The 18,789-nt window shown below is 37.5% G+C and overlaps 1 protein-coding gene and 1 non-coding gene across 8 annotated transcripts in view, besides 2 other annotated features; one reads left to right on the forward strand and one right to left on the reverse strand.

The window, feature by feature from the left end:
* The window catches only part of ADAM9 (ADAM metallopeptidase domain 9), a 108,289-nt gene that overhangs the window by 4,226 nt on the left and 85,274 nt on the right, over positions 1-18,789 (forward strand). For all 7 annotated transcript variants that reach the window (NR_027638.2, NR_027878.2, NR_027639.2 and 4 more), the window contains exons 2-7: positions 6,688-6,785; positions 10,460-10,518; positions 12,767-12,845; positions 14,920-14,996; positions 16,021-16,216; positions 17,655-17,720. Coding sequence is in view for 3 of the 7 variants with exons in the window: in NM_003816.3 (NP_003807.1) it covers positions 6,688-6,785; positions 10,460-10,518; positions 12,767-12,845; positions 14,920-14,996; positions 16,021-16,216; positions 17,655-17,720 (575 nt within the window). In the remaining 4 variants the exon portion in view is untranslated. The remainder of the gene's footprint in view (positions 1-6,687; positions 6,786-10,459; positions 10,519-12,766; positions 12,846-14,919; positions 14,997-16,020; positions 16,217-17,654; positions 17,721-18,789) is intronic.
* Positions 1,586-1,725: an enhancer, noted in NCBI's record as "active region_27276". NCBI's record gives its function as "activates an Ori minimal core promoter by ATAC-STARR-seq in GM12878 lymphoblastoid cells {active_cell/tissue: GM12878}" and the evidence as "EXISTENCE:reporter gene assay evidence [ECO:0000049][PMID:35858748]".
* Positions 3,020-3,089: an enhancer, noted in NCBI's record as "active region_27277". NCBI's record gives its function as "activates an Ori minimal core promoter by ATAC-STARR-seq in GM12878 lymphoblastoid cells {active_cell/tissue: GM12878}" and the evidence as "EXISTENCE:reporter gene assay evidence [ECO:0000049][PMID:35858748]".
* On the reverse strand, positions 17,418-17,487 carry SNORD38D (small nucleolar RNA, C/D box 38D). Its single transcript, NR_145988.1, has one exon. It is a non-coding gene; the product is annotated as a small nucleolar RNA, C/D box 38D (small nucleolar RNA).

Raw genomic sequence — 18,789 nt, forward strand, 5'->3', positions numbered from 1 at the left:
TACAATGAAATACGATTTTGCTATCAAAATGACAAATGTGTAGGCTATGTAGATTTGTAGAAAAGTTGATACAAAAGATGTTAATCATAAAAAGTAAGGTTCACTTTAAGTCATATGTGATAATTACAACTATCAGAACTATGTTTGTTTAGCTGTAACCATCAGAAGAGGTTATTTATTCAACACATATTTTATTGAATACGTACTGTACCAGTGCAGGAAGTACATGATGAATAAGATACCGTCCTTGATCTCAAAGAACTTAAATTCTTTGCTGGAGGAACTTAAATTGTCTAGGGCATTAAATCTTAGAAATGGGTGGTGTTTTTCCCAAAGGGACACTTAAACAAACAACAGAAGCCATTTCTTTTTAAATGTAAAGATGGGTAAATATTTAAGAAAAGTGTAACACTAAAAAAAGTAAGAGTGTAGACCTAGCAGTAGAAATTATAATTAAGTATGTTTGAAGGTAGTTTTTTTTTTTTTTGAGATGGAGTCTCACACTGTTGCCCAGACTGGAGTGCAATGGCTCGATCTCAGCTCACTGCAACCTCTGCCTCCCAGGTTCAAGCGATCCTTCTGCCTCAGCCTCCTGAGTAGCTGGGATTACAGGCGCGTGCGCCACCACACCTGGCTAAATTTTGTATTTTTAGTAGAGACAGGGTTTCACCATGTTGGCAAGGCTGGTCTTGAACTCCTGACCTTGTGATCCACCCGCCTCGGCCTCCCAAAGTGCTGGGATTACAGGCATGAGCCACCACGCCCAGCCCAAAGGTAGTTATTAATATACGGTATGTATTTATCTGGAATTGACCTGGCGAATACTAGAATGATTAAAAAAAAAAAAAAAAAAAAGGCAAAAACTGCAATTACTTTTGCACCAACCTATTATATGGCTCGAAATAATAGTGCTTTGTAGATCTAATTGAAACAATTTCTCTACAAGAAATACTTTGGAAACAGAATTATCTTATTTATCCTGAATGTGGAGGCCAGGTTTATTTTTATTTTCTACAGTGGAAGTACTTAAAAGTGGCTGTTTGTTTATGTAGTAGGCAGGAGAAGCCCATGGTTTGGAGTTCACATTTGTTTGCTTTGCAATTAGGTAGAATTCTTTTTTTTTTTTTTTTTTTTTTTTGAGACAGAGTCTCACTCTGTTGCCCAGACTGGGGTGCAGTGGCACAATCTGGGGTCACTGCAACCTCCACCTCCCAGGTTCAAGTGATTCTTCTGCCTCAGCCTCCCGAGTAGCTGGGACTACAGGCACGCACCACCACGCCCGGCTAATTTTTGTATTTTTTTTTAGTAAAGACGGGGTTTCACCATATTGGCCAGGCTGGTCTGGAATTCCTGACCTCGTGATCCGCCTGCCTCGGCCTCCCAAATTGCTGGGACTATAGGCTTGAGCCACTGTGCCCGGCCACAATTAGGTAGAACTCTTTTAACTCACTTCCCTGTACTACAATTACTATTATGAAAAGTGTGCTCAGACTTCCTCTAAAACACACTACAGTGTATAGAAAGATCTACGGAGTTAGAGAAAGAAAGAAGTGCAACTAACACCTTTTCCTTTCTTTAAGATTAGACATGTTAAGTTTCATGTTTCAGTGGTTCACGTTTTCTCTTCAGGCCGTTTTCTCTTTTTCTTTTTTTTTAGACGGAGTCTCCCTCGGAGGTTGCCCAGGCTGGAGTGCAGTGGTGCAATCTCAGCTCACTGCAACCTCCCCCTCCTGGGCTAAAGTGGTTCTCAGCTCACTGCAACCTCCCCATCCTGGCTCAAGTGGTCTCGTGCCTCAGCCTCCCGAGTAGCTGGGACAACAGGAGAGCGCCACCAGGCCTGGCTAATTTTGCATGTTTTGTAGAGGCAGGGTTTCACCATGTTGGCCAGGCTGGTCTCAGACTCTTGATAAAATAAATGATTAATTGTGGCATTTTGGTTTTCAAAATGAGAATTGTGTTTAAAATGCAAAAGAGGGAAAGAAAGTTATATGTAATCTTCCTATATTTAGCTTTTATTTTACTTCATTGGCAGTCTGGGTAAAAAATTCATAGAAGACAGAAGACTTGGTTTCTAGTCTTGGCCTGAAACTTTTAGCTGTCACAACTGGGGGATGCTGTTGGCATCTAGTGGGTGGAGGCCAGGGATGCTGCAAAACATTCCACAGTACACAGGACAGCGCCCTTACAGGTTGAAGGTTTATACAAATAATATTAAAGCTCTTTTTTTATATTAATGTGGAAAAATGTTATTTTGGTTCCCATGAGAAACTGCTACTATTTGGAATTTAAAAAAAAAAAAAACAACTAAAGGGAATTTGGGGAAAATCTATGCAGGATATGAACAGGAAAAAAGAAAAAAACCTGACCTAGAGATAAGAAAGGAATTTTGGGAAAAAAACATGGGAAGGAGGATTTTCATACAATTAGTATGTATTATTTTGATGACATTCCCCCAGTATGTGCATTTGTTATGATGTTTTGGAACTTTTTATGGCATGGCTTTAATTCAGAAAGTGGTTGCTTGGATTTTAGAAGCAAGATGTCAATATCAGAATAACAGCCCTTACACACAGAAATTATTTCAGGGTGCTATAATTTTGAAAGTCTTTTAAAAATAAGTGATTAGTTACGGCATTTTGCTTTTCAAATGAGAATTGTGTTTAAAATGGAAAAGAAGGAAAAAAAGTTACGTATAATCTTCCTATATTTAGCTTTTATTTTACTTCATTGGCAGTCTCGGTAAAAGATTCATAGAAGACAGAAGACTTGGTTTCTAGTTTTGGCCTGAAACTATAAGTAAAGTAAACTAACTTTGCCTATAAAGTAACTGAACCTGTTTCAAAATGAAAGCTCTTTAAATACCTGCCTGCCCATAAGAACTACAGATGCTTTATTTTTGGAGGCATTTCTTTTTCTCTGTTATGTTTGGTTCTGAGTTGTAACGAAAAAACTTCAGTTTGGTTCTATATTGTTTAGCTTCTAGTGTAACAGTTGTCTGTGTCTATCAGCATATGTATTCTTTATTTTTTTTTTTTGGCAGGGTCTCCCTCTGTTGCTCAGGCTGGAGTGCAGTTGCATAATCATGGCTCACTGCAGCCTTGATCTCCCAGGCTCAGGTGATCCTTCCACTTTAGCCTCCTGAGTAGCTGGGACCACAGGCATGTGCCACCATGCCCCACTAATTTTTAAATTTTTTTGAAGAGACAGGGTCTTGCTCTGTTGCTCAGGCTGGTCTTGAGCTCTTGGGCTCAAGTGATCCTCCTGCCTTGGCCTCCCAAAGTGCTAGGATTACAGGGTTGAGCTACCATGCCTGGCCAGCATATGTAATCTTGTCTGTAATGATTTACTTAAAGAGAATTTTTTTTTAAAAAGTGAAAGCATGTTTATTAAGAAAGTAAAGGAATAAAAGAATGGCTACTCCACGAGCAGAACAGTGGCACGGGCTGCTCAGCTGAGTATACTGATAGTTGCTTCTTGGTTATATGCCAAACAAGGGGTGGATTATTCATGAGTTTTCTGGGAAAGGGGCAAGGATTTTTAGACCATATAAGGTAACTTCTGGGCATTGCCATGGCATTTGTAAACTGTCATGGTGCTGGTGGGAGTGTCTTTTAGCATGCTAATGTATTATAATTAGCATATAATGAGCAGTGAGGACGACCAGAGGTCACTTTCCTCGCAGTCTTGGTTTTGGTGGGTTTTAGCTGGCTTCTTTACCGCAAACTGTTTTATCAGCAAAGTCTCTGTGACTTGTATCTTGTACTGACCTCCTATCTCATTCTGTGACTAAGAATGCCTAACCTTCTGGGAATGCAGCCCAGTAGGTCTCAGCCTTATTTTATCCAGCCTCTATTCAAGTTGGAGTCAGTCTGGTCTGAGTGCTGCTGACATATTTTCCCTCATCCTTTTACATGGGAACCTTAATCCTAAAGATTGTAGAGGGACAAAGATCTATCTTCTGTGACTTCTTCAGGCTGAATAGGGGCAATCATGTTCCTGCCTAACTATAGGGTATCTTGTATCCGGGGTAGAGAGGAGCTCAGTCACACAACGTCATTATGCTGAGGGCCATTCACAACTCTGAGTTCTGTTGAGTTCACAACACAAAAGGTGATATCTAGAAGATTAGTAAGATTAATAATTAATAAGTGTTCAATTTAAGAAAACATTCAGTAAGCTTATCCTGCATTCCTACACAAAGATTACAATAGCAATATATTTCATGACAGTATAGCAAATAAGTAAAATTATTCCAAGTAAACTAAATAGAAAGCTGTTCCATGAACTGGGCAATTGTTGGAACCCAGCTGATATAGGGTCACTAACTGATTCCAATATATGCCCAGAATTAGAATACTGATCCAGATGTTAACATTAGCCATCCCTCTTGTTTATTCTGAGCTGCAGTTAGAGATCACTGATTGGTTCACTGAAATAAGCAGAGTCAGTCCAAATTGCAGGGAAAAACTCAGAAACAACTGATGAGACTAGAATTTAATGTCAGGTGTACTATAGTTCTTGAAACGTAATTTTTCCCTTTCCTGTCCTCCATTTTCATTAAAAACAAATCATGATAGGACTGATAGGATATGATGGGTAGCAAAATAAGCTTTAGTCTTATTATGCTTGGCCTGATTGTTTGAAATAATTGCAGTAAGAATAATTATTTGCCACATAGGCACTTTTTAATTGGCTTTGATGGAACTTTGTTCCATAAGGAATCTCACCTGAGATGTTTTTTAAAGCAGAGCTCAGCCATGGGTTTGCACAGTTAAATACAGGTATGAGTTGGGTAAATTCCTCTCCTCTTGAGGTCCCAAGATAACTTGACACACCTGGGACTGTAGATAGTGACAGTCTTTATTTACAACAGATCAGGAACCTCGTACAGGGACTGTGTAGACAAGGTATGTGGCCAGTTTTCTCAAGGGGCTTTTATCGGTTCTATAAATCAAGTTTGATTCCTTAAAGGAAAGCACAACATTCCAGTCAAAACTTGGTAAAATAACCAGTTTCTCCAGTTGTGTCCTGTGCAAAAGAAAACAGATTCTTACAGAAATATAAGGGATTGATGGGTAAAGAGTTTAAAAGCTGTTTATACATGCAGTACATTGGATATGATATAATTTATGGTTTCTTGTTTGCAGCTGTTTGTATCTTTTTAATCCCAAACCAGACAAAATTATAAACATTTTATATACAATGTTATCTTGGAAAAAGTTAGATGTAAATAATTCATCTTAATCTATATTTGAGAAATCTGAGGGGTATTAGGAAACTCATGAGTGAATGAACATATAGATTGGATCAAAGGAGGAGAGTATGAGAGTAGGGAGACCAGGTAAAAAGGTATCATAGTCATCTAGAGGTGAGGTTAGTAAGGGTTAAGCCATTGGTAATAATGCTGGAAGAAAAAGAGGTTGTGTTGGACTTATCGAGAGACTATGTATTGGACTCCCACATGGTGTGTCTTCCTAAGAGATTTGTGTTGGCAATTTTGATTATACTCAATTTCAATTCAAGTGATGACTTTAGAACCCAAGCCCTGCTTAAGACATCATGATTCCATGCGGATAGACTGAACAGAATTGGAAATGGGAGTTAGTCTGCATGACTTTCAGAGCTCTTAACTGTTAAGAAATTTTGCTTAAAATTTGTGTTTTTGTGATGGATTAATGGCTATAATTTGAAAGCGTGGCTACATTGTTGAGTATGTATTTGTCAGAGTTAACCCATCAGATATTAAAAGTACCTTTTCCCTCTTACAGTCCTTGTCCATTTAATAAGTGTCTTAGTCTGTGTTGCTATAAAGGAGTACCTGAGACTGGGTAATTTATAAAGAAAAGAGGTTTATTTGATTCACTGCAGGCTGTACAGGAAGCATGGCACAGGCATCTGCTTCTGGTGAGGGCTTTAGGCTGCTTCCATTCATGGCAGAAGGGGAAGCGGAGCTGGCGGGTACAGAGGTCATAAGGCAAGAGGAAGCAAGAGAGATGGGGGAGAGAGGCTCTTTTTAACAACCAGCTCTTGAGGGAACTAATAGAACAAGAACTCTTTCTCCTACCCTGGCCCCTCAGGGATGGCATTACTCTGTTCATGAGGGATCCACTTCAATGACCCCAACACCTGTTACTACACCCCACCTCCCAACACTGGCACACTGGGGGTTAAATTTCAGCGTGAGATTTGGAGAAGTCAAACATACAAACTGTAGCAGTAAGTATTTAGTAGTATCATCTGAGAGGATGTTATTCATGCTGGGTGAGGGGGAGGAATGGGAGATGAGTGAAGGGTGCTAGACTCTAGGATGCCTTTCCCCCATTTCCCCACCAAACCAGTTCTTTTCTTTCTTCTTGTGTTTATACCTTAAGATTTCTTTTGAGAAAAAAGGGTTAGGGTTTATAGCTAAAAATGTTTGAAATGATTGCTATGTATATTTATAATGTTTGGATAAAGACTGATATTCTTTTTTAAGAAAATACATTTTCCTCCCTCATACTTACCTAATGCATTGCTATTTTCATGTATTAATACAACTTTATATGAGTACTTTTATTATATGCATATTGTAATATGGGAATGTCAGGTGATTTTTCTGTGATTTGAACATTTTGATTTTTCATTATATTGTGTTCCCACGTAGTTTTTCAGTTTCACTTATTATATTTGTTTTTGCCTTTTCTGTAGGCTTTCAACAGACCTCACATCTTTCTTCTTATGAAATTATAACTCCTTGGAGATTAACTAGAGAAAGAAGAGAAGCCCCTAGGCCCTATTCAAAACAAGTAAGTTATAATTGTTGAGAAATAATATGTGGTTAATTTTTTTCTTTTCTGTTTTAGCACAAAGGTGTTATTTGTAGCAGTGATCAGTTCAGTGAGTTATTACTTGGCTGTTACTTAGAATAGCACCATATGGTACTGATGTCCCCTGGATGTTATGCTAGTAAAAGCAACATATTGAGCCTTAATATCCTTTTTTTTTTTTTAAAATGGAGTCTTGCTCTGTCGCCCAGGCTGGAGTGTGCAGTGGTGTGATCTCGGCTCACTGCAACCTCCACCTTCTGGGTTCAAGTGATTCTCCTGCCTCAGCCTTCTGAGTAGCTGGGACTACAGGCATGTGCCACCATGTCTGGCTAATTTTTTGGTATTTTTCAGTAGAGACAGGGTTTCACCATGTTGGCCAGGCTGATCTTGAAGTCCTGACCTCAGGTCATTCGCCTGCCTCGGCCTTGCAAAGTGCTGGGATTACAGGTGTGAGCCACCACGCCCAGCCAGTATCTTTTCTTTTTTAAAGACAATATGATCAACTCGAAACATAACAGAATAGAATAGTTAAACAAAATTGTATCACTAGGGTAGGCTGCTGATTATATACATTTTAACTGACAGGCAATGGTCACAGTGATTTTATTATAATAAGAATTATAATTCTTACTATAATTATATAACCTCACTCAGTTTGTGATAGCTAGAACACTTTATACTATATCTTCACTGACGGTGGAGAGTGATAATGTGTTAAATGCGTATATTTTATATTAGGGAATATTTACTAAAATACAAGTTTTATTTTCATATTGGAAGAAACCTACTGTGCTGTAAATGGGGTAACCAGTGCACAAAAATTATTTTTTCTACTATTCTTTTGTAAAGTTTGTTCAGAAGTAATCTTATTTGGACTTTAATTTTATAAGTCCTTCAACTTTATAGAAGTATAATTAAATTTTATTATAATTTAACAATGACAGGTAATAATGCATAGAATTTAGCTTATGAATTGTATTAATATCTGAATTGCTGATACACTCAGAAATGTAAGGCAGCGTGCCTGTTTTTTAGGGAGTGGGCATTGTAAAAAGAACACTGGAGTTGAGGATCAGGAACTTTTAGTTTTGGTCCTCCCTGTGAGTACCACCACCTACTAGTTGGGTTGGTCACTCAACTCCATTTACATCTCTCCAACTGAGGAGTAAATGACTCTAAGATCTCCTCTGTAGATGAATTTATACATTTTACTTGTTTTTGGTTTGAACTGGGCAGACTACCATTTGATTATGTTTTGTCTTAGGATAGAGTTAATCAGTTAATCCCTGTTTGGGTGCGATCTTGGCTCACTGCAGCCTCCGCCTCCTGGGTTCAAGTGATTCTCGTGCCTCTGCCTCCTGAGTAGCTGGGACTACAGGCATGTGCCACTATACCCAGCTAATTTCGTATCTTTAGTTGAGATGGGGTTTTGCCATGTTGGCCAGGCTGGTCTCGAACTCTTGGCTTCAAGTGATCCACCTGCTTCAGCCTCCCAGAGTGCTGGGATTACAGGCATGAGCCACCTGTTTTCCTCCTTTTCTACAGTCAATGGTAGACTTTCAGCCTAGGGACCATGTTTTCTCCTTTTTTGTGTCTCTGATAGTATCTTCATTTAGTACTTCCCTCATTAATACTTGGGATCGTCATAGATAATTGTCATTTTTATGCTTTGGTTAATATTTGGAGAAGTGATATAGTCAGTGCATATTGAACTGGATTTTGCTCATTCAACAGTGAATGTAATTAACTCGTTAAAAAGTATTTATTGAGTTACTATTGTATGCTAGGCACCATTTAGGTATTGGGGATACGGCAGTGAACAAAACAGACAAAAATTTATGCCCTTGCATGAATGCAGTCTTGTATTCTATGGAGCTTGCATTCTAGTGATGGGGGGGGGGGGCAGGGAGAGAGAGAGAGAGAGAGAGACAAAAACAAAAACAACAACAACAAAAACAAACCCCCCCCCCCAAACCAAAAATGTATATTACTTCAGATGGTGATAAGTGCTATGGAGAAAATTAAAGCAAGAAGGGGGATAGGGAGGCTGGAAATGGTGAGTTGCTGGGGAGAGGATTGCATTTTTCAGTAGGATGGCCAGGGAAAGCCTTACGAGAAGGTAGCCCTTTAGTAAAGACTAGAAGGAGGGGGGTGAACAATCCAGGCAGATACTTGGGGGAGGAGTAAACTATCACAAAACAATCTTCAGTTTCTCAGATTTCTTTTTAGTAGACATAGCAGTGATGTTATTACATCACGTGATTATCTAAGAGCAGAATGAGTAGAAAGGCACATGACAAAGCTGTGGCAATAGAAAGAGCTTGGTGGTTTTGCTGGCCCACTGGAGACTGAGGTAGATGATGAAGGGTTCTTGGATTCCCATGCAGGATGTGGAGGTGGATGACAGGATCCATAGGTTGGTCTAGCGCTTAGAAGTCAGAGGCAGATGTGCCGTGGTGAAGGGGTTGATGCTGTTTCTTGACAAAAGGTTAACTGAGTCTGGAAACGGAAGGGAATATTAAGTAGACACTTCTGATAATGTTAGTTGTCGAGTCCCTCCATGACTTTCTTTTTTATTAAAGAGTTAAGGCGAAGTCACATCTCTTAGTTCCAGAGATCACGTTAAGCACTTGTGGCTAATGACATGGTGAATTGCTGGGGAAGTTGTTTCAGAGTTGCCTGAGGTAGAGAAGATGATCCCATGAATTGGAGGATGTGTATATATGTTACTTTAATTCCTTGACTCTAAGATGCCATCAATTGTGAGACACACCATATTGTTTTATGTACCACTAATAAAGACACGGAAGTGGCCCAGCAGGGTGGTTTATGCCTGTAATCCCAGCATTTTGGGAAGCTGGGTGGATCACCTCAGGTCAGGAGTTCAAGACCAGCCTTACCAATGTGGTGAAACCCCGTCTCTACTAAAAATGCAAAAATTAGCCGGGTGTGTTGGTGGACGCCTGTAATCCCAGTTACTTGGGAGGCTGAGACAGGAGAATTTCCTGAACCCGGGAGGCAGAGGTTGCAGTGAGCCGAGATTGTGCCACTGCATTCCAGACTAGGTGACAGAGTGAGACTCCATCTCAAAAAAAAAAAAAAAAAGACAGAGGTGCTGCTAGTTAGTCTAGACTGCTTTGCCTTTGTATGATGCATCCTCATTTCAAGGACGTTAATGTGAGGGAAAAAAGCATGTTTTAGAATTGATAAAATGAGGTAAGCCCTGTAATTTGTATCATAAAAGGAGTTGAATTTCTTTTTAACTTTATATAAGTAGAACTAGGTATAATTTCTTGAAACCAAGAGTTTCATTTCATTTAGACAAAAGCAGGAACTATCTTTGTACTGTAGGTAATACATCGATGGACTTGAGAAGATAATCCCTGCAGTTATAGCTGAATTAGAAATGAATTTAAGAAGAGTTAGATAGACATGGGGTTATTTTCCATGATCAGTTATGAAAGGAAGGAAGGGATGATCAGAGTATATTTTTTATTATTTAAGAATAGACACAAAGTTCTTCTATTAAATAGTTCAGCCAATACCAAATTATTTTAATTCAGGATGGAATTTCCTGCATCTTATAAATGAGATGTTGTTGAAAAGTAATTTTTAAGATGATGTTTTATTCTTTTCCCCTTCTGTGCATTTAGGTATCTTATGTTATTCAGGCTGAAGGAAAAGAGCATATTATTCACTTGGAAAGGAACAAGTAAGACATTTAATTTATTTTGGCTTTTCAGTAATGTTTTTCCAATAGTATATTGGTTTTCTTTCTAGTTTGATATGGTTTAGTGGATCCTGAACCCTGGGATTAAGCAGATTTAGCTCTTCATATTGGTGCTGCACAGTGGCAGCTGGCTGGGCAGGCAGTGACTTCTAAACAGGAAAGAAGGCAGAGACTGGAACCAAGTACCTCCAGTTTATTCTTTTCAAATGCATCACTAAGGGAGCAAAGGCTACACATATGTGGGGGAGTTGGGGAGAAGGGGAGCCTGCAGTGACTGAATAGGGTCCAATTACTGGAAAGACTAAGGTTCCACAGGCTACTTCTATGCCTACTCACATAGACTTTAATAAAGGTAAAGGATATAATGCATCAGGACAAAGAAAGTGCAGGCAGTCATCAAGGCATGACCCCCAGAGTCCTTTCTCAGTTGCACAGATGTGCTTTGCCTCCAGATTATGAACCGCTGAGATATGTGTGAGGCATCATATTTTCTGGGGAGCCCAGGCACAAGTTTACTGAAGGTATCTTTCCTACTTTGCTGATCATGTAGCTAAAGTCAGGCTGTGTACCTAACTAAATCGGACAAAAACCTTCCATTTATTCATCTCTAGTCAATATAGACAGGCTGTCAACCATTGTGGAAGACAGTATGGCGATTCCTCAAGGATCTAGAACTAGAAATACCATTTGACCCAGCCATCCCATTACTGGGTATATACCCAATAGATTATAAATCATGCTGCTATAAAGACACATGCACACATATGTTTATTGCGGCACTATTCACAATAGCAAAGACTTGGAACCAACCCAAATGTCCAACAATGACAGACTGGATTAAGAAAATGTGGCACATAGACACCATGGAATACTATGCAGCCATAAAAAAGGATGAGTTCATGTCCTTTGTAGGGACATGGATGAAGCTGGAAACCATCATTCTCAGCAAACTATTGCAAGGACAAAAAACCAAACACCACATGTTCTCACTCATAGGTGGGAATTGAACAATGAGAACACTTGGACACAGGAAGGGGAACATCACACACCAGGGCCTGTCGTGGGGTAGGGGGAGTGGGGAGGGATAGCATTAGGAGATATACCTAATGTAAATGATGAGTTAATGGGTGCAGCACACCAACTTGGCACATGTATACATATGTAACAAACCTGCACGTTGTACACATGTACCCTAGAACTTAAAGGATAATAATAATAAAAAAATATATAGACAGGCTGGTCCCGGGTGCCTCCAGGGGAGTTTTGAACTTGAAAGGGCATATTTATGAATCACTAGTTAGCACATTACATCTCTGACTTGTCCATAAGGCCTGGAAATAAGCATACAGCTGCTCCAGTCCTGCTGCAAGAGAACGTGATCCTCATAAACATGCTTGATGCCACTGAACCTCCTTAACATGGAGTGAAGATTTGGAAATCAGGAATAATTGTTTCTTTCAACAATTGAGACAGAAATTTGCCTCCATACTTAGGAGGTTAATTCTTATTTATATAGAACTTTAAGAAAAGAGTGTAAAAAACCATTTATTTTTCTAATGTAAATATGATATACTGTCAATAACCCAGTTTTTACTTTTCCTGTGAGCCATATCTGAAAAATTTAGGGACATTATTTATGTTGTCTTAAATTTTTTGGAACTAGCATTTTAAGACCATTACAAAATGTGTAGCTTAATATTAAATATTATTTATGAATAAGTAATGTACACTATTTCAGAGTTGTCCGTTTATGAGCTTTTTTTTTTTCTCCTTTTTTTTTTTTTAAGAGACAAGGTCTTACTCTGTTATCCAGGGTGGAGTGCAGAGGCATGATCATAGCTCACTGCAGCCTTGAACTCCTGGGCTTAAGCAATCCTCCCACCTTAGCTTCCTGAGTAGCTGGGACTATATGTGTGTGCCACTATGCCCAGCTAATTTTTTATTTTTTGTAGTGACAGGGTCTCACCGTGTTGCTTAGGCTGGTCTCAAACTCCTGGCCTCAAGTGATCCTCCTACCTCAGCCTTCCAAAATGTTGGGGTTACAAGTGTGAGCCACTGCACCCAGCTGTTATGAGCTTTTAATTTTACAATAGCACATTTAAAAATAATTTATCTGGTGAAAGTTCTTATTTACTCCTGCTTGTCTCCTCTAGGAATAATGCCTTATGAATCGTGTCCTTAGTTGTAGATAGATAACATATATATAAACGGTGTTTTATTTCTCTTCCAGAGACCTTTTGCCTGAAGATTTTGTGGTTTATACTTACAACAAGGAAGGGACTTTAATCACTGACCATCCCAATATACAGGTAATGTATTTTTCTCTTGATCCCATAGCAAATTTTAAAACAATTATAATTTAAAAATGAGTTCTGTATAGGCACTCAGGACTGTTACATTGCACAGCCCCACAGGGTACCTTTAACATTATAACATATGGGTTATCTTGGGAAAAGTGGGTGCATTTCTATAGACTAAGCTGTACCTTACAGCTCTCCAGGTACTCAGTAGTTAAGGTTTTTTTTTTAAAGACTAGGAAAATAAATCTTCTATTTAATGGTAATCCTTACTGATGAGAAAATTTGATATGTTTTGAAAATAGGAGTTTCTGATTTTTTTGTTGAAAGTTAATATCTCTAAAAGTGCACTTATTAAAACATTTAATTTGTCAGTGATATTTAGTAAAGAAAAACACTCATTTGATGTTATGTGTTCTAATGTTCTAAATTTTTTCTGAAAATAATTGTTTCCTAAAAGAGGTGTGGTCCTCTCTGCATCAGAGAACAGAGTACTCCTGGGGACAGAGCTGGCCAGAATACCCAAAATAATTGGCAGATGTCAAATTTGGCTTTCTGTGTTTATTACTAGAGCATAAACATTTCTAGTTTTGTTTGAGTGTTTTACAGTCCTTTTTGGCAGTTAGGTATTATACCTTTTTTTCTTTTGCAATGGTTTTCATGAGAAATCTTTATTCCCATTACATGTGTATGTTTTATTTTTCTTCTGAACTTTGTAATACTTTGCTATGTTGAATTGTTTCTGTTGGTAGCGCACTTTTGCAGCATTCTTCAAATAGGAGGCAAAAAAATCTTTAGATTAATTATTAGTACTTACAAAAACCAAGGAAATGCTGACTTAGGCCTATCTTCTGGTCCACTATCTGATTTCTTTATCTTAGTGTGTTGTTGGTCCATTGTTTAATAGAAAATTAGTAGAGGAGTTTGAATTTACCTTACAGCATAAACCAGATAGAAAATAACGCATTCATCCAGTCATGCATCCAATGATTACCAAGGCAGAAGGCCAAACACCACATAATTTGTGTCACTTGACAAAAGCAGTAATGTTAAAAGGCATTTTTTTCCTCATAGAGGTTTCTTGGCATACTTTCTTCAGACATACACTGTTTGGGCTTGAGTTTTGACTCATTATTTGCTGATGAAGCTACTTTAATCTGTTTGTGCCTTGGTATCTTCGCTTTAAAATGTAATAATAGTTACCACTTTATGGATATACTGGGAAACTTAACTGAGTTAATACTTACAAGATGCTTAGAACAGTCTGACAATTTTTAACTCAACGAATGTTATTATTTGTTGCTATTATTGACAGCGTATGTTCTTAAAACTGCCAAAAATTGATTTAATTATATAGAAACTTATGTAACTATTATCTTATATAATACTTAAGTATCATAAGTATGATAGAGTTATGCTTTTCTGGGTGTTTGAAAAATGTCAACTAAGACAGATGGTGTCTCACTTATTTCTTGGTTATTTAATATTGTTCAGTTAGATGAAAGTGTGATTGTAGATTTGAAATACAAAATAAAACTTGGATACTGTGATTTTTTTAACATGGCCAGACTGTCATGTATTATAATGACATATACTTTTGTCCATAAAATGAAATTAAGTTTCACTGAAAAATTTACATACTTTCCCCTGGGGATTCTATTGCTTCAGATTAAAGTTTATAAAGTATCATTAGTGTCTTCCACAGGGTCATTTTACACAAACACAGTTTTAGTGAGATGTCAACTGGCTTTTGTTGGTTGTTGGATTGACTGTGATTTAAAATGTTAAAGATGATATAATGCATCTTGTTCTGCTTCTAGGCTGAAAGGTCACTGAGGCAGAGCTGTTTGTACCTTGTATCCCCTGGAATTTTGCCTAAACATTTGTGTACTCATAGGGTGGTAGGAGATAGTCCGCAGATGGTCTAAAGAATGCCATGTGATACTGTGAGATGCCAATAATATAAATAAAACTTTGTTATTATTAAACTTGACTGGCCTAAAGTAATTTTGTTAGCTCTGCAATTTCTGTGATGATTTTCAGCAATGTAGCAATATTTGAAGATAATACAGTATTTTTCATTTAGAATCATTGTCATTATCGGGGCTATGTGGAGGGAGTTCATAATTCATCCATTGCTCTTAGCGACTGTTTTGGACTCAGGTAAGCAATTTCCTTTATCTTCTTTTTTTTTGTTTCCCCTATGTCTTACCCTCTTTCCTGTTTCTGTCTCCAAATTAAATCATTTTGGGCACTTAGCAAAATTGGAATTTACTTTGATGTTACTGAACATTTTTACAGCTGTGTTTCAGATATCCTTGGCATGTTTATTTAAGAAAGTATTATAGTTGATGAGTTTTAATATGTAAAGAGGAAATTTTTTTTGAGACCACTAAATCATTTTTGCTATTTAAAATGAAATATACTTTAAATTTCTGTAGCACTTTATATTTATAAAATTTTCACTTGTATTATTTAAGACTTGTATTTAAGTCTTATTATGACTGTGAATAAGAGCTCATTATCTCTGTATTTAGGTGAGCAAACTGAAGTTCAGATAAATTATATTACAATTCAAATTAAGTTATTATAGTATTAACATTACATTCCTTGAGGTCATGGCAACATGGCACTGTGCTGGTTGGTTGACTGCATGATTGCTTGAACTAAAACATATTAGTTCTATATAAGATGAATATGATTATATTCACTTAGGCACTAACACTTATTTGGTAGTTACTGTGTGCCAGGCAATATGTTCCGTGTGTTTTCTGCTTATTAAGTAATTTTGTTTTCAGAACAATCCTGTGCAGAGTGCAAACCAAGGCAGAGGTTAAATACCTCGCTGAGAGTCCTGCAGCTAGTAGAAGACATTTGGAATTCAGACTCTTGTCCTCTGGTCCGGATGCCACATTCTTAGCCACTATTTTGTAGTGCCTTCCATTTCCCGTAGATCACTCAGGGAGGTTAAGTGACTTACAGGCAGTGACGCTGCTAAGTAGCTATTTGAGCTTTCAATTTAGGTCCGTCCCAGCCCTATCTGTCTGATTCTAAAGCCTCTATTTTCTTCTCTATGTAATGCTATGCCTACTTACACATTTAAGAATTAGGACTTGAACTTAGGTTTTCTGATTCCTTGTGTATTTTCTTTTTCTTAAAATTTGTATACGTGTAATGCAACATTCAGAGGATTGCTGCATTTAGAGAATGCGAGTTATGGGATTGAACCCCTGCAGAACAGCTCTCATTTTGAGCACATCATTTATCGAATGGATGATGTCTACAAAGAGCCTCTGAAATGTGGAGTTTCCAACAAGGATATAGAGAAAGAAACTGCAAAGGATGAAGAGGAAGAGCCTCCCAGCATGACTCAGCTACTTCGAGTAAGGAAATAACATAATTCTTCATGGCTCAGACTACCATTTTAGAAAAATCATGTATTTATTCATGAAATCAATACTATGAGTAGTGTTTTTTTTTCTTTTCTTAATTTTGCCAAATATATGCCAGACATTGTGATAGGTACTAGGGGATGAAAAGATGAGCGATATATAGTTCCTGCTACCAAGTTGAGTACAGTTTAGATCCTGTGGGTTTTGGAAACTAGGACTTAAATCTGCAACAATGTTCACTGTGGCCTTGACCTCTTGAGCTCAAGCAATCCTCCTGCCTCAGCATCCCAGTAGCTACTGCTACAGGTCTGTGCCACCCACCGTGCCTGGCTAATTTAAAACAACTTTTTGTAGAGATGAGGTCTCATTACATTACCCAGGCTGGTCTTGAACCCCTGGTATCAAGCAATCCTCCTGCCTCAGCTTCCCAAAGTGCTGGGATTATAGGCATAAGCCACTGCACCCAGTGCAATAGAGTTTTTATTTAGGTACCTCTTAGACAACTCAAATGGTGATTCTTGAACCCTAGATTGGAAAAAGAGAGAGATACGGCTTTAGGAACTTAATGACTTCAGATGTGTTTCAAGGACACTCTGCTAATGACTTTAAGTGATGATAAACTATGTCTGAGTCCCTCTTTGGAGACTGCTATAGCACTTCATGATTTACTCTTGACATGGGTGTCTCTTAGACTGAAATGGTTCTAGGACTAGATCAACTTCAGCTGCAGGGATTGTACCTTTCTACATATGAGATTCTGTTGCTGCCTTGAAAGAGGCATATTTTTAATTAAGTTATACTAGTTTATGGCATTATTTTTATTGCCTCTGCTGCTATCCACTCTTTTGACTTGGGCTATTCTTTTTAACTTTAAACATTGGAAAACATTAAAATTTTTGCTTATTCTACTTCGCATGAATTTCTGTAAAATGACAAAACTAGTCATTTTTTAAAATGGCAACCTTATTCTAACTTCTGCTCTGGGATATTAGTGGATATGTTTTCTTTATCTCTCAGCATAGTAATGGGCTTTTTCATTAAAATATGTGTGTGTTTGCATGTGTGTGTGTGTGTAGTTTTGATTTTAGAAAATTGGTAATTCTGCTTTGTAAACTTAAACCCATTTTATCTGTAACTAACATTTTTCTCATATTAGTGCAGATAGCAGATAACACTTCAAAAACATTTTTTTCCCCTCAGACATAGTTTATCATCACTTAAAGTCATTAGCAGAACTGGACAAAGTTTTCATCACTAAGAAGCAGATAACACTTCAAAAAACATATTTTTCACTTTCTTGATATAGGATATGTTAAGTAAAATAATTTTATGATGTTCTTAGCAGACATGAAATAAGTGATGAGAGATTAGGATGTGATCATAGCCTTATAACTTCCTTTTGCCTTTATGATGTTTGTGTTTTTGACAGAGAAGAAGAGCTGTCTTGCCACAGACCCGGTATGTGGAGCTGTTCATTGTCGTAGACAAGGAAAGGGTAAGATTGGTGACAATTTTTCTTCTTTTCCATGAAAAGGATATGAGAAGTGAGCATTTAATGAAGGAAATCTAAACTACACATTGTTTGTATTGATTTTACTTAAATAATGATTTTAAAACTAAAATGGTTTTTTTCCCTTAAACTTTATACCACCAGAATACCAACAGAAGCTAAATGTAGCAAATGTGACTGCCTTTAACTTTATCTTTTATTAATGATTTTTTTTTCTTTTTCTTGCTGATGACTTGCTTATGCTGAATTTTTTGAGTGAATCTGTACTGCCTATCAGGCTCTTGAGAACTTTTCAGATTACTTTAATGGGCTGTGGCTCTAAAAGGTTTGGCTTTGTTGGCTAATAAAATTGCTTTGCTTTCTAGAATTTGAGATAACCTATATTGCACTTTGAGAGATGGAAAACCTCCAGGTCCTGGCATGCTTTAGAAGGGAATAGTATTAATTTCCGTGTATAGGATCACATGAGGGCATTTTCCTTATTTATACTTAAGAAACTGAACTAAGTGCTTTGCTTTAACTAAGAGAAGTAATGTGTCCCTATTTTGGCATTTACAGGATTATCAGTTTTAGAGATAATGGCTGTATAATTTATTTTCATGTTGCTTTTTTTATTGATATATAATACTTCACATGTTTAGGGGGTACAGGTGAGTATTTGTTACAACAGCTGTGTAATTTAAAAAAGAGAGTATTTTTAGTGTTTTGTTTGACTTTTACTTCCAACTTTGTTGTCAGTGTGAAAAAGTTATTTGTGGAAACTTACTATGATTGGCAGTTCCTTTCTTGTAAGCTGTAGAGACAGTTTTGAGGTTTTTTTTGGTTTTAAAAAAATTCCTTGTTGTATGTAGGTTGGAAAATAACAAGCCACCCCAAATAACTAATTTGGAGAAAATATTAAGAGATAGACTTGGATTTGTACATTATAGGTTCATTGCCCTCAAGTGGCAGAAGGAAAAGCACATGGAATATGAACAAGTGTGAACTCTGCCCCAAACAGTGGGCAAAAAGCTTCTGTAGAAGAATGTTTTGGACAAGTCACAAAAGTCAAGAT

Source organism: Homo sapiens, chromosome 8, assembly GCF_000001405.40.
Source record: "Homo sapiens chromosome 8, GRCh38.p14 Primary Assembly".
In the NCBI taxonomy this organism is placed as follows: Eukaryota; Metazoa; Chordata; class Mammalia; order Primates; family Hominidae; genus Homo; species Homo sapiens.